The following is a 14,414-nucleotide window of genomic DNA, read 5'->3' on the forward strand; positions in this document are numbered from 1 at the left end:
GAGTGCAATGGCATTGATGTCAGCTGACTGCAACCTCCACCTCCCAGATTCAAGTGATTCTCCTGCCTCAGCCTCCCGAGTAGCTGGGATTATAGGCTTATGCCACCATACCTGGCTAATTTTTTGTATTTTTAGTAGAAACGGGGTTTCACCATGTTAGCCAGGCTGGTCTTGAACTCCTGACCTCAGGTGATCTGCCCGCCTCGGCCTCCCAAAGTGCTGGGATTACAGGCGTGAGCCACTGTGTCCGGCCTTATTCTTTTTACATGACCTTACTTCTTTTTCCTCTCTTTTCCTTGTCTTAGTTCAACATTCTGCTTCTCTATATCCGAAGAAAGAGGAAAAAAAAATACCTTGCTATCTTCCCCCCAACAGACATACTTTACTAAAAGATGTTGTGCTCTTCTATTATTCTCTTCCATCATTTAGGACTTCATTTCAGAGATCCTGAATAAAACATATAGATAATTTCATGATCTGGAATAGAATCTGCATTTGTGACTAACAAGAGAGGTTGTACAAATTATAATTTCTGACTCCTTGTTTTCTCACTAGACCATGTGCTTTTTGAGGATCAACACTGTGCATTATTCATAATTGTATCTACAAAACTTGGCACCTTGTTTTCCACCACAGAGTAGACAGCATATATTTTAATGTGCATAACTGTCCTGGTATTATCTTAAATCTGTTGGATGTGTGTTTTGTGATAGCATAAATTTGTTTATGTGTTAACAAAACACACACATACTCTTTTCTCTCTTTCTCTCTCTCTCAAACATACAGAGACAGAGAGAGAGAAAGAGAACAGTTCTCATCATCATTAAGCCATTTTCGTTGGAAATATTTTCAGAATTAACCAAGGAAAATTAACCTTCAGATTAGTGGACTTCACTCCATGCAAATGGTAAAAGTGAAAATATGATTCAAATTTTTAAAAGCGGGAGCTCAGATTGCTTAATGTCTCCTTTATTCTGGTTTACATAGTAGCTCCGTGGCTGTGCACTGTAAGTACAATTATGATTAATTTCCAAGCATAAGCACTTGTTCTCAACCGAACCATTATTTTCTTGCAGAAAACAAAGAAAAACTTCCTAGAGTTCTATTTCTTGTGTCAAAATCAACCTTAACTTTAGTTCACTAATCCTTTCCAAGGGCCCCAGCTGATCTATTTAATTTTTCTTTTAAATGCTATCTTACTAGAGTATTTTTTTCATACTTAGGTCAAAAATCATTGTAATAAAAAATGTTCTACAAATATTGAATTACATGATAAATTTCCCTTGGTGAATCTCTACTGTCATCCATTTTGAACGTCAGAAATTCCTCGGGCAATCTGGAAATAAAATATTCTGGTCTGCAGGCTGAACTTCCCATAAATGCAAGCTGTCACTGCTGTCTCACTCTGCTGATCAGCCAACCATGTCAAGCAATGCTGTCATTTACTTAAGAGAAACAAGCAAACCCTTCAATCATGTTGTTTCTGAAGGAAAGTAGAAAAGAAAAACCACAACATTTTCTTTTTCCTTCTTTGGCCTAGGATGGTGAAGCAAAATTAGCTTAGAATTATAGTAATAATAACAACGTTTGCTATTTTACTGTTGCAAATACTTTGTAGTATTAACCATTTAATCCTCACGACGTTCTAGTAGATATCATAACTTTACCTATTTTACAGATGAAGAAAATGAGACATTGAGAGGTTATGCAATTGGCCCAAGTAAAACAGCTAGTAAGGGGCAGAGCTTGAATTCAAGCAGTCTAAATTTAAGAGCACAGGTTCATAATGCTATGAGGATCAATACAATTCTATAATGGGTGTATTTTAGGTCATAGATTTTTATAATATTTAATTCCATTTAAAATTAGGAATTTGAAGAAAATGTCTTTATTTCTTTTAATACTACCAGAAATAAATTATTTCCCATTAGCTTCAAAATCCTTTGCTCATTTTAACCATCCTGATAGGTTTCAGGTTTGTGATGGTTGTTGTTGTGTGTGTGCCTTTAAGATAATCATTTTTAATGCCATATGTCCAACTTATGCTTACTAATTTTTATCATTTGCACTCACAGCCATCAAATCTAAAGCCTTTTCCTCCTTTAAGCTAGTCTCGTTAGAATATAAGAGTGAGCACTTATTTAGGTCCTACTATTCACCAGACACTATTATAAGCCCTGTACCTGATCCTTAAGCCCCACGTCCATCGTTTGATTAGGCATTTTTATTATCTTCATTTTATAGATGAGGCTTAGAATGGGTAAGTAACTTGTCCAAATATACACAGCTCATAAAGGGCAGAGTTGACACTACAAAACCTAGGTGTCTTCCGCCCTGAAAGCACGTCTTATTTCCTCCCTATAAAAAGACGTGACCTCAAGAGTAGTATCCCAAATATATATGTCAAATTTTCTACATTATAATTTTAGAGTTATATTTCCTTGGAAACAAATTTGATTCCCAAAACATATTTTGGCAATTCTGTTCTTGAAAATATTTTATTTTACAAAAAATAAGATAAGTTAAATGTATCATCATCCACATTTTTCTAGCATAGTGTAGAGAATTTGGTTTCAAATTTTATTAGTGAAATAATCGCAAGTACCTCCTTTCATTAAAGAAGAGAAAAAGAAGGATGAAGAATGAAAGGAAAGAACGAGTGTAACCATTGCTGATTTTACTGTGGATTTGATAAACATTAGTCAAAAACACATGTGATAAGCCACATATTATTAAAAATGCACCATATAATTAATGCTATTGCATTGTCATTTTGTTACCTAGCATCAACTGGCTCACTGCCCAAGGTACACAGAGGCCAATACCATGGCACCAGCTTTCGAGAAAAGAAAAGCATTATTGAAAGTCACGTGGCAAGGAGACAGGAGGAAATGCTCAAATCTGTCTCCCTGAGCGAGGGTTGGGTCTGGGTGATGCCGAAGTTCAATCTGATTGGATCCTGGACACTGCCATGCAGTGTCTGCTCCTTAATTCAGCCCCTGCTCCTAAGTCTGAGCACTCAAGTTCCCCTTGTGGTAGCACACTTAGGTTCATCTGGGCATGCTCAGATTATGTGACCTTCAACCTTGGAATCCATGTCAACTGATAAACAACTCACAGTTTTATTACATAAAAGTTGAACCGGATTGGTCTGATGTGGCTACAGTTTACTACATGGAAACTGAGTAAACGATATGAACATAGTGGTGCTGGTGAGACAAATGAGCTCTTTAGAATACAGACAAGATTCCTGAGCACCCCTTTTCTAGACACAGCCTTCCAATCTCCTAAGCATCATTCTTTACCCATGTATGCAATGACACGGTGTTCTGTTTCTCAAAGGAACACACATATTTTACTGCTTTATTAAGCTGCTTAGTTCAGATGGGCCACTAAAGTGACCAATTAACTATTAATTTCCTTGTATAAGAGATGGCTGAAGGTCAATCCTGAGAGCCTAAGCACTCCTTAAAGTTTCCCTTTAATTCTAACAAATAACTTGTCTGTGAGGCACACAGATATTTCGTCTTTTGAAAACTAGAGCAGACGTGCTTTGCACAGTCTACTGGGGAAAGAAAAATGTGCTTGCTTAACATGAATTGCTTGTAGGAGCAGATATATCTATAATGCAATATTATTGAGTTAAATGAGAAGGACATTATTTTTTTTTTCTTTCTGCTCTGTTATGAGCACAGGGTAGGGAATTTGGTTTAAGGTCTCATTATTTGGCAAAATTGCAATAACCTCCTTTCATTAGTAAGAGAAAAAGGAAAAGGAGGAGGAGAAAGAGGAGGCAAGATTGTAACCATTGTTGATTTCACTGTGGACTTGTTAACCATTAGTCAAAAATACATGCTGATAGGCCACTGAGCTCTGCTAGTACTAATAATAGTCTTTCTCTTTTCTCTTCTTCAAGCTTCATGATACTTTCTTGAAATACGCACACAAAACTTACTGTCCGGATACCTAGCACCTCTGAGCCTGAGCTGTCTATGATTAGAGTCAGTAATTATGCTGTGAGATAATCCATCATGGTGGGTTTTGTTTGTGGCTCGCGATAATTAATGATGATTCCGCAGAACAGCAGTTACGCAATACAGAAGAAATTCATCTTCTAAAGGTCAGCAAAGAGTTGAAGCATGAAGTAAAATAAGCCCATAGCTGCTAGCTATTTTTTACCAATCAGTCTTTGTGAGTTTGTTTTTTATTTTGAAAGGCATAGTGAAAATGTTCATACCTTAATAAGGCATTGTCTGAAAACTAAATTTTTTGTTTCCTTAGAATTAGATAGAATTTTTTAAAAGTTTCTTAGGAAAAGAACTGATTTTGCTTAGAAAATACACCATCAGGCCATTTGGTATATGAAGGGAAGGGTGTGAACTCACACTAGCACCCAACTCTCACCTCACTCAAAGACATGTAACTCTACAAAAGTAGTCAGTAAAATTTGCGGGTGTGGACTAGGGTGTGAAAGGAAAGAGTGTGAGGGAAAAGTGACTGATTAATTTCTATGGCAAGTGGGGTTAAGGGAAGATATGGCTATGTATAAACCCACTCTCTAACCAGTCAACGGTCGGCACACTCAGAAATATCTCTGTGGGGGCCGGGCGCCGTGGCTCACGCCTGTAATCCCAGCACTTTGGGAGGCCGAGGCAGGCGGATCACGAGGTCAGGAGATCGAGACCATCCCGGCTAAAACGGTGAAACCCCGTCTCTACTAAAAATACAAAAAATTAGCCGGGCGTAGTGGCGGGCGCCTGTAGTCCCAGCTACTCGGGAGGCTGAGGCAGGAGAATGGCGTGAACCCGGGAGGCGGAGCTTGCAGTGAGCCGAGATCCCGCCACTGCACTCCAGCCTGGGTGACAGAGCGAGACTCCGTCTCAAAAAAAAAAAAAAAAAAAAGAAATATCTTTGTGGGGCCGGGTGCAGTGGCTCATGCCTGTAATCCCAGCACTTTGGGAGGCCGAGACGGGTGGATCACGAAGTCAGGAGCTCAAGACCATCCTGGCTAACATGGTGAAACCCAGTCTCTACTAAAAATACCAAAAAATTAGCCGGGCGTGGTGGCGGACGCCTGTATTCCCAGCTACTCGGGAGGCTGAGGCAGGAGAATGGCGTGAATCCGGGAGGCGGAGCTTGTAGTGAGCCGAGATCGCACCACTGCACTCCGGCCTGGGCGACAGAGAGAGACTCCGTCTCAAAAAAAAAAAAAAAGAAAGAAAAAGAAAAAAAAAAGAAATATCTTTGTGGGTACAAGGAAATAGGGCCACATTTCAAATTTGGGCACAAAAGGGGGAAACGGGGACAGGGATGTCAAAGCCAGGAATGAAATGTCTTCCCAAGAATCCCCGATGATATTAGGAAGCACATCGAATTAGCCACCACTGCTTGTGGGTGTTGAATCAAAATGCATTGAAGTCTAAAAAGATGAGGTGGCCCCAGCTACACCTTGAGGTTATTTTGTTTTATGTATAAATGATTTAAAGTTCTGAAAATCATGTTGGTAATGACAGACACACTGATGGTGACAGTCATCTCAGCTATAAAAAGCATCAGAGTAAACATGTTTTCTAGCCCTGGTTGCATTAACTAAAGTAGACACGTTGGTGACAAGTCATTTCAATTCTCTCTACTTCAGTTTCTTCACCTTAAAAAAAATCATGCTTAAAACTTGGTGATACCATGAAATTTAATATTTAATGTAAGAATGCATGAAAAAGCATAAACTGCTTATTGAGTGCTACTTTGTGCCAGATCTTATTGTAAGCAGCATACATGTATTCGATCATTTAATCCTATCTCATCCACACAAGCATCCTATGAGGTAGATACTATGATTTGTTTAATTTATAAATGAATGAATGAGTACTAAGGCATAAGTTTCACAGAGAGTGAAGGGTCAAGCTTTTGGGGCAGTATGATGCCTTCTTTTATTCAATAATCATAAAAGCTTTAATTTTTTTCTTTTTTAAAATTTTTATGTATGCTCTGTTGAACATATTTATAGGGTACATGTGATAGTTTGGTAGTCATACAGTGTGTAATGATCAAATCAAGGTGATTGGGATATCCACCACCTCAAATACTTATCTTTTCTTTATGTTTGGAACATTTCAAATCTTTTCTTCTAGTTATTTTGAAGTATACAGTAAATTATTGTTAACTGTAGTCGTCCTATGGTGCTACTGAACACTAGATCTTATTCCTTCTATTTAATTATATTTTTGTCCCTTCTTTAAGCAGCCCCTCTTTATTCCCCCATCCCCTCACCCCTTCTCAGCCTCTGGTAACCACCATTTATTCTCTACCTCCATGAGAGTGAAGGATCAAGCTTTTGGGGCACTGTGATGTCTTTTTGATGTGCCTAATTGGATAGGCCATAGTCTGCAGTTATTCAATCCAGCACTAATCTAAGATGTTGCTGTGAAGGTTTTCTATAGATAGGATTCAATTCTATAAGTGTTGACTTTAAGTAAGGTAATTATCCTAGATAATCTGGCTGGCCTGCTTCAACTAGTTGAAAGGCCTTAGTAGCAGAGCTGAGGCTTCCCTGGAGAAGAAATTCTGCCTGAGGACAGCAGCTTCAACTCTTCCCCAGGAGTTCCAGCATGCCCTTCCTGAAGATCAACCCCCACAATTGTATAATCCAGTTTCTTACAACACATCTCTTACTATGTATCTTCTACTGGTTCTGCTTCTCTGATCTGTACCCTGACTGATACAGACAGGAGACCTATGTACTTCACCACTGGGCTATTCTGCCTTCCATCACTTCAGCCTCAACCTTTCCTTCCTCCCCTTCAATGTATTTTAAAATGTTCAGAAATACGTTGCTTTTTAGAAAAGAGGAAAACAACCATGATTAATTGGCTCAGCCAAGATCACAAAGTTAGTGTAAATCTAAACAAAGTCAGGCTGTCATTTTGAAGAATTATAAAAACAACTATGATGGCCAGTATTCTACAGCACTGGCACAACTCTCTCACCCTTGGCATCATAGGAAGACCCACTAGAGCATACTCTAGATTTAATGCTGGACAGTAGCCTCAATTAGATCACAGAACTGACGCCTAAGAAGATACAGGCATCTGTTTCATTTCCCTCAAGGGGCAAAAGGCATCAACTTTACTGCCCATACACGATCATTAGCATTTCCCTTCACAGCTGTCACCTGAGGAGCATATCTCAAGGAAGCGGAATGTTGAACTGGAGGGAATACTCTGTCCTCACTGAGGAAGTTCAGATTGCCCTTGCCTTTATTTTCAAATGCTTTGCTCCAGCTGGCTGGCCTTTTTAGTACTGGCTAACAGTGAGTGAGTTATAGCAGCTGCTTGTCATTCATGTATTAAAAACTAAGCATCTCTGTCTTTCAAAGTCATGTGAAGGAAACAGACAGGACCCAAACTTCCTAGTCCATTAATGGCCCCACTTATCCATAAGCACACACTTTGCTCAAGTATGTCGTCAGAACTCCTAATTATAATGCTATAAATTATAGCAGAGAATTAAAGGCAGCTATAGAGGAAGGAAGAAATATGAATATTACTAAAATGAGAAGGTAATTAAGTTACCCTCTTCCCTCTGAGCCAGCTCTGGTTGTTTAAAATAAGTCCTAATAACAGTGTTAAATGAACTCAAAGCACAAATGAATATTAAACTGACCTACTGCAGAGGTTTTATACATGGCCTGTTAAGGTCGTTTTCATTACCAGGGAGATTTGAGTCATTCTTAAGAATGTGAAAGGTGAATGTGATGGTTAATTTTATGACAACTGGATTGGGCCACAGTGCCCAGGTATTTGGTCAGACATTATCCTGGATGTTTCTGTGGTGGGGTTTTTTAGATGAAATTAGCATTTAAATTACTGGACTTTGACTAAAGCAGATTACCCTCCATAATGTGGATGGGCCTCATACAATCAGTTGAAGGCCTCAATAAAACAAAACTGACCTCCAGCCCCTCACCTCTCCACCCCCTACCCCACAAGAAGAAGGAATTCTGCCAGCAGAGAGCCTTTGGACTCAAACTGCAACTCACCCCTGGGTCTCCAGCCTGCTGGTCAACTCCATCAGATTTTGGACTCATCAAGCCTTTATCATTGCATGAGCCAATTCATTAAAATAAAGCTGTCTTATATATATGCACATACATACTGTTTGTTCTGTTTCTCTGGAGAACACTGGCTAACACGGTGAGTAAACTGACTACACTGGAAATAACAAGATGAACTTCAGGAATGCAGAAGATAAGAACCCAGTTACATTAATGGAATAGTTACTGCTTAATTTTAATTATAATATTCTTTGCTAGCATTGTGAGACTTTAGTAACCAAACCCAAAAGAAGCAATTGTTATAGTATATGCTAATATATATTCAACAAATAATGGAGTGCTCATGGCCAAAAATGTCTCTTCCAAAGAGCACATGCCAATTTCAGGGCCACTAAATGCCAAGCTCCAGTAATGTTCCAGGACTTTGGGCACATATCCAGAAATAGGCAACTAGTCCTAGAAATCCAGGAAATCAACAACTCATGAGTCTAGCTAATATTTATTGAACACCCTTATCACAGGGAGGCAACAATGGTGAGTGGGTGAATGACAGCAAAACAGTCCCTGATGTCATGGAGCTCAGAATCTGAGGGAAAAGTGGATCATGCAAATGTATAAATGGAGACAGGTGCTAATAAGAAGGATGCCTGTACTTAAGAGAAACCTGTAGACAGGCTACACAGAGCATGGTCTACAAGCCAGCAGCATTAGCATCACTTGGGAGCTACTTAGAACACAGGATCTCAGGCCCCTTTCTAGACCTGCACTTTAATAAGATCCCCAGATAATTGGTGTTCACATTAAATTTGAGAAGCAGCTGGCTTAAGGGATAAAGAAAACTGCTTTACTGTGGATAGTATATTTCAGTTGAGATCTGAAAAGAAGAGGGATCATTTCTATACCCTCTGCATGTTTACTGCTGGGCTTCACAGTGACTATGATCATTTCTATAAGGCAGTCATTATTGCTAATTGCGAAATATTTCCAATTCTCTTCCCAGACATCTTGAAGGACTGCCCTTCCCTAACCCCATGAAGCTGGATCTGACCTAGTGACTAGTTCTGGCTAGGTGAATATGATCAGAATGGACCTGTGTCACTTCTGGTGGGATTTTTAAGACTCATTATAGTTTGTCTGCTTTCTCCTTTCTGCCACGATAATCGGCAGTGTATAGTTAGTAACAGCTCAGTCAACGGGAAACCTGGAGCAGAAACGTCAATTCACCTACAATTAACATGGGCCTTGAAAGAGCAGTAAACTGCATCATACTAAGCCTCTGAGATAGGGTGGTGATTTGCTCCTGCCTAATTGGTATACTCTATCATCAATGGATTCATTCAATTGGTACCCAGTGAGTGCTTATGAGGTGTCCAGCTAATCCAGGCTCTGGGGATTCTGTGATGAAATTAGCCAGACAAGACCCTGCTGAATCTTCTCTTTTTCTAGAGAAAGCTGGGCAAATAAGCAACCAAAAAAATAATTTCAGATGGTGGTAAAAAGTAAGAAGAAAATGAAACAGACTGGAGAGATTAGACAGGGGATGATAAGGCTCTTTCAAAGGAGGTGGTCAGGTCAGGAACAGCCTCCCTTCTCCAAGGAGCTGATATGTGACCTGGTACCTGGATAAGGAGAAATCTCAGCCATTTGAACATCTGGAGAAAGAGCCTGCTGGGCAGGGGAGAAGAAGTACAATGGCCCGGAGACAAGAAAAAGCTTGGCATGAGAAAGTAATGGAAGCACAATCCTTGTGAAGCCCAGCAGTAAACATGTGGAGGGTGGAGAATGGTTTAAGATGGGGCTGGAGAGGCAGCTGGAAATCTGATCCCAGAGATTTCAGGTCTGTTCAGAGGTTTGTGTTCTATTCTAGGTGCAATGGGAATATGTGATCTGAACTATAATAGTATCACTCTGGGTACTATATTCAGCATAAGCTTGTAACAAGAAGAGAGCGAGCACAGTAGGAGAACTAAAAGAAGGCTAATCTAATGGGGGTTACTTAAAAGGGCAGAGAAATGCAATCGGACTACCAGCCTAGAAGGATAGATAACTGGAAATACTAATATTAAGTGTATAGCATTAATGACTAATGTCACCCTTCTGTTCACCAGATACTTGATTTCCTCTCCTTTCCCCATGTACTGTATATTCAACCCCTCCCTAAGCGGGACAACCCCAAGGTCCCACTAGTCGGAGGATCAGCTCTGAGTTCAAGATCTCCTGGTGACATATCCTAGTCCCTGTATCAGAGAATAATGTGGTGGTTTCTGTATCAGGTTTGGATGTGATTTCACTTCATCCAGAAATCTATGAACTAAAAAGGTGACTTGGCTAGGCGTAGTGGCTCACGCCTATAATCCCAGCACTTTGGGAGGCTGAGGCGGGTGGCTCACTTAGGGTCAGGAGTTCAGGACCAGCCTGGCCAACAGGGCGAAACCCCATCTCTACTAAAAATATAAAAAATTAGCCAGGCATAATGGCACACGCCTGTAGTCCCAGCTACTCGGGAGGCTGAGGCATGAGAATCGCTTGAACCTGGGAGGCAGAGGCTGCAGTGAGCCAAGATCATGTCACTGCACTCCAGCCTGGGTGACAAAGTGAGACTCTGTCTCAAAAAAAAAAAAAAGAAAGAAAGATGACTTACATGCCCAACTGCCACCTGAACACACATCCACACCCAATATGCAACTGCAGAATAAATACATAATAATTCTAAAGAGATTCACATTCAGAAAAGGGAAGAATATCGGCTACATGGCAGACATTTGATAGCAATTCTGGAATCTAGGCAGTGATTGTGAAGGTTTACTACCTTAGGCACAGAGAATGTTCCCGTATTAAATTGCAGTTCTTATGTCTTGGAAGGGTTCTCTTGTCCAGTTTTCCAAAATTCTTGACTCCATCCTCTAAGATGTTCTTCCTTTGAGTTTCTTCTGTCCTTCAATCTGGAATGTATATTAAAGGATCATGCACTTCAACATCTACTCATTCATAATTCTTTATTTTAAAATTTCAAACAGCCTCTGTCCCTTTAAGTTTCAGCTTGTGATTCATTTGACAGTACAGTTCTCTGAAGACCTTACTTAATTTCTTCAATACCTACATTTCTTTTCCAAACATACTTCTATTTGCTACTTTTGCTTTATAACACCCAAATCTCTTGTCTCTTTTCCTCTGGACATAACTAAGGTATGTTGGACTATCCAGTTTAGGTGAGAGAGCCATTTTGTCCAATTAAAAAGATTTAGGCACCACGCCTTTACTAGGTCATGGATCTGAGTCAAAGATTTTAACAATAGGTGTGACAGTCATACCTAGAATTCATACTTGCTGCAAGAGTAATTCTCAAAGACCTTCTCAGCTTCATCTTTTAAAAGGGTAAGATTCCTTACTGCAAATCCTCCAAACTAGACTCTCTTTCTTCCTACATACAAATTGGCCGGTTCTTTTGTAAGCTCGTTATTGTCTTATTAGCACCCTGACAAATGCAGTCAACAATAACCAAAATCAACTTCAAATGCACTTTAAAAACTAAGCACTTCCCTAGAACAGGGTTTGGCAATCCTGTAGTCCAAATCCAGACAACAACCTGATTGTGTAAAAGGGGAACTAAAGATTGTACAAACAAGCAATGAAGAATGTGCAACAGAGACTCATACAGTTTGAAAAGCCTAAAATCCTTACTGTCTTTCTCTTTACAGAAAATGTTTGCCACGTACTTACCTAGAAGTACAAATATATACCTCCCAGGTTAACCTACCACCAACTAAGCTCTCATCCCAGAATAACACGAGCTAACCTCCTTCTTACTTCCAAACTTCCCTTGCCACCTACTAATCATTAAGCCAAAGCCACACATTTTAGGTTGTTTTAAGGCAACACCTCCATTTCTTGGTACCAACAGCTGTATCCATCGGATTAGGCTAGGGCATGCTGCGGGCCTCTGCTTATCAATCTCTCTAGAACCACACTGATGGATATTTCATGCCATTGCAAGCTTCCATGAGCATCATAACAAGGAAAAAATGAACTTAGCAAATTGTGCACTGCCTCAAATCTTCTGCCTGAAAATGACACATTTTATTTGCCAAATTAAGGCACACAGCCATGGTTAACTTCAAGGTATAGTGGTTTACTTAAAGGTAGCCATGGTTTACTTTCCCCTGGAAGAGGAAGTAAAAAAGAATTGATGATGGTTGCTAATAGCTACCACACCTGCAGTCCCATTCCACAAAAATAGCCTCCATTAGGGGATGGTAAAAATATTTTCACTTTGTTTCATGCATATGCATAAATATTATCTTCCTCTAACATTACCTTTCACATAATAATCATTATATGCATTCATACTTATAGTAAAGGGCAGGGACTATGACTATTTTGCCTATCATAAGATAGAGCACAAGGAATGGAATGAACTCAACTATTTATTATATTAATGAATAAATAAACTAATGTCATTATTTCTATGTTACTTGTTTCTATGTTCATTCTACTAATGATTTTTGTTATTTTTTTACAAACATTTGAACCTTTTATTCCTCATCACCATAAAGAATGAAAATTAAATAGTGCCTGTACCCTTTCACCTCCTAGACTATGCTAAGTATTTAAACAGAAAACTTTTTTACCTCTGTCCCCTTCTTACATATTCTGCTTTTCTTTATTTTTATTTTGCTGATCTGGAATTTTTTATCTAGATTTTTACTAACTTTATTTCACATTATGATTCTTCAATTTTTAGAAATCATTCTTAATATTATTTTAAATTTGCATGTACAAAATTAACCATAATTAGATTTAACTATAAGTTCTATGCCCTCATTGTCTATCAATGTTTCCTCCAATTTTCTTGAGCTCTTTATTTTGATACATTCATTGTTTGACTATAATACTTCAAAAAAAAATTTTTCAGAACTAGTACATGGTGAATGGTGTTTCTGAATCTTTGCGTGTCCAAATATAACTTTCCTTTGCATTCACATGAATGATGGTTTGTTTGGATCTTGAAATGGAGCATGAAAGTTATCAGAATCAAAATGGAGTCAATTGTGTTAAAAACTGGGGAAGATAAATACAGCTAGGAAAGGCCATGAAGGGAAGCTTCTCATGCACAAATGACTGAGAACAAAAACTATCACAAAAGATTGCAAAACCCAAAATCTCACACAAAGACTGCACAACCTTACATACACACACAAAAAAAATTCTGTGAGGACGTCTGCCCAGCAACTGCTTGTTCAACCTTGGACTAATTCCACCCTTGTTATTGACCCTTGTAGTCAAGGATTATTGTCTCAAAACAATGATGTAATTCTCCTCATTTTTCTTTAAAAAACTTTTGTCTTCCTTTACCACCCTGAATGAGAACCTAGTTTACTATGGCACACATATTCCCATTGCAATGCCTATTTCCAAATAAATATCATTTCCATTTAAAGCATCTCCCTCTCTGTTTGTTATTTAGGATGATGGGAGTCACAGTCCACTTGCACTCCAAAGTTTGAGAAGCACTAGTCTACGCTGTATTTGCAGCTCTTGTGGACTCCAGCAAGAATTGTGTAACTATTGCCTTCTAGTGAAAGCCACTGTATGCCAGGAGGCAGATTCTGAGGAGGGTGAATCATCGTGGATATAGCAGAGAAAAGCAGGCAACTGGTGGACAATCTAGTGCCACCTCACTTCATTTCCAAAGCTATTCCCACCAAGTTTAGCCTACGAGAATGATAAGTCCACTTGCTGCGTATGTGGAGTTCAGGCTGTGTCCTCAAATCCTCTACTCACTCCTTTCTAGGCTTTCCCTATCATGTCCACATCTTCCTTCCTCTGCCACTTCATGTGGGGTAGTGGAGCGACTCCTAGCGGAATCTGTGTTCCATTAGCATTACAGCTACTCACTGAAACTATTGCACTCTCCTCCCTTCTACTGGCTCCATCACCTGTGTTAGGAGCTCCCTGTACCAAGTCTTCCACTTTATTGAGTAAATAGTTAGAGCCAAAGGGAACACTGTGATAAAGCCTGTGTCAGCTGCCATGTTGATTTTCTACTGCTACTGTCATAATCACAAAGTTAGCAGTTAAAGCAACACCCATTTTGCAGGCCAGTTCTCTGCTCTGGGTTTCACAAAGTGATGGACGGGGTGTGTTCTTTTCCAGAGCTTCTGGGGATGAATTCGCTTCCAGGCTCATTCATGTTGTTGGCAGAATTGAATTCCATGAGATTATAGGACTCAGGTCCGGTGTCCCTGCCAGCAATCAGCCCAGGGTTGGTTGTTCTCAGGTTTTAGAGGCTGCCCACATTCTTTTTGGGGTGGCATCTTCCTCCTGCTTCAAAGCCAGCAAAGACCCTTCACAGTAGTTCCTC

General features: G+C 39.6%; 1 protein-coding gene and 1 long non-coding RNA gene across 6 annotated transcripts in view; one reads left to right on the top strand and one right to left on the bottom strand.

Moving 5' to 3' along the window:
* Positions 1 to 14,414, top strand: part of GALNTL6 (polypeptide N-acetylgalactosaminyltransferase like 6) — a 1,228,156-nt gene that overhangs the window by 839,864 nt on the left and 373,878 nt on the right. The window lies entirely within an intron of this gene.
* The window catches only part of GALNTL6-AS1 (GALNTL6 antisense RNA 1), a 96,947-nt gene that overhangs the window by 23,336 nt on the left and 59,197 nt on the right, over positions 1 to 14,414 (bottom strand). For both annotated transcript variants that reach the window (NR_125895.1, NR_125894.1), the window contains exon 2: positions 10,863 to 10,995. This is a non-coding gene — a long non-coding RNA (GALNTL6 antisense RNA 1). The remainder of the gene's footprint in view (positions 1 to 10,862; positions 10,996 to 14,414) is intronic.

This window comes from Homo sapiens, chromosome 4 (assembly GCF_000001405.40).
Source record: "Homo sapiens chromosome 4, GRCh38.p14 Primary Assembly".
Classification (NCBI taxonomy): domain Eukaryota; kingdom Metazoa; phylum Chordata; class Mammalia; order Primates; family Hominidae; genus Homo; species Homo sapiens.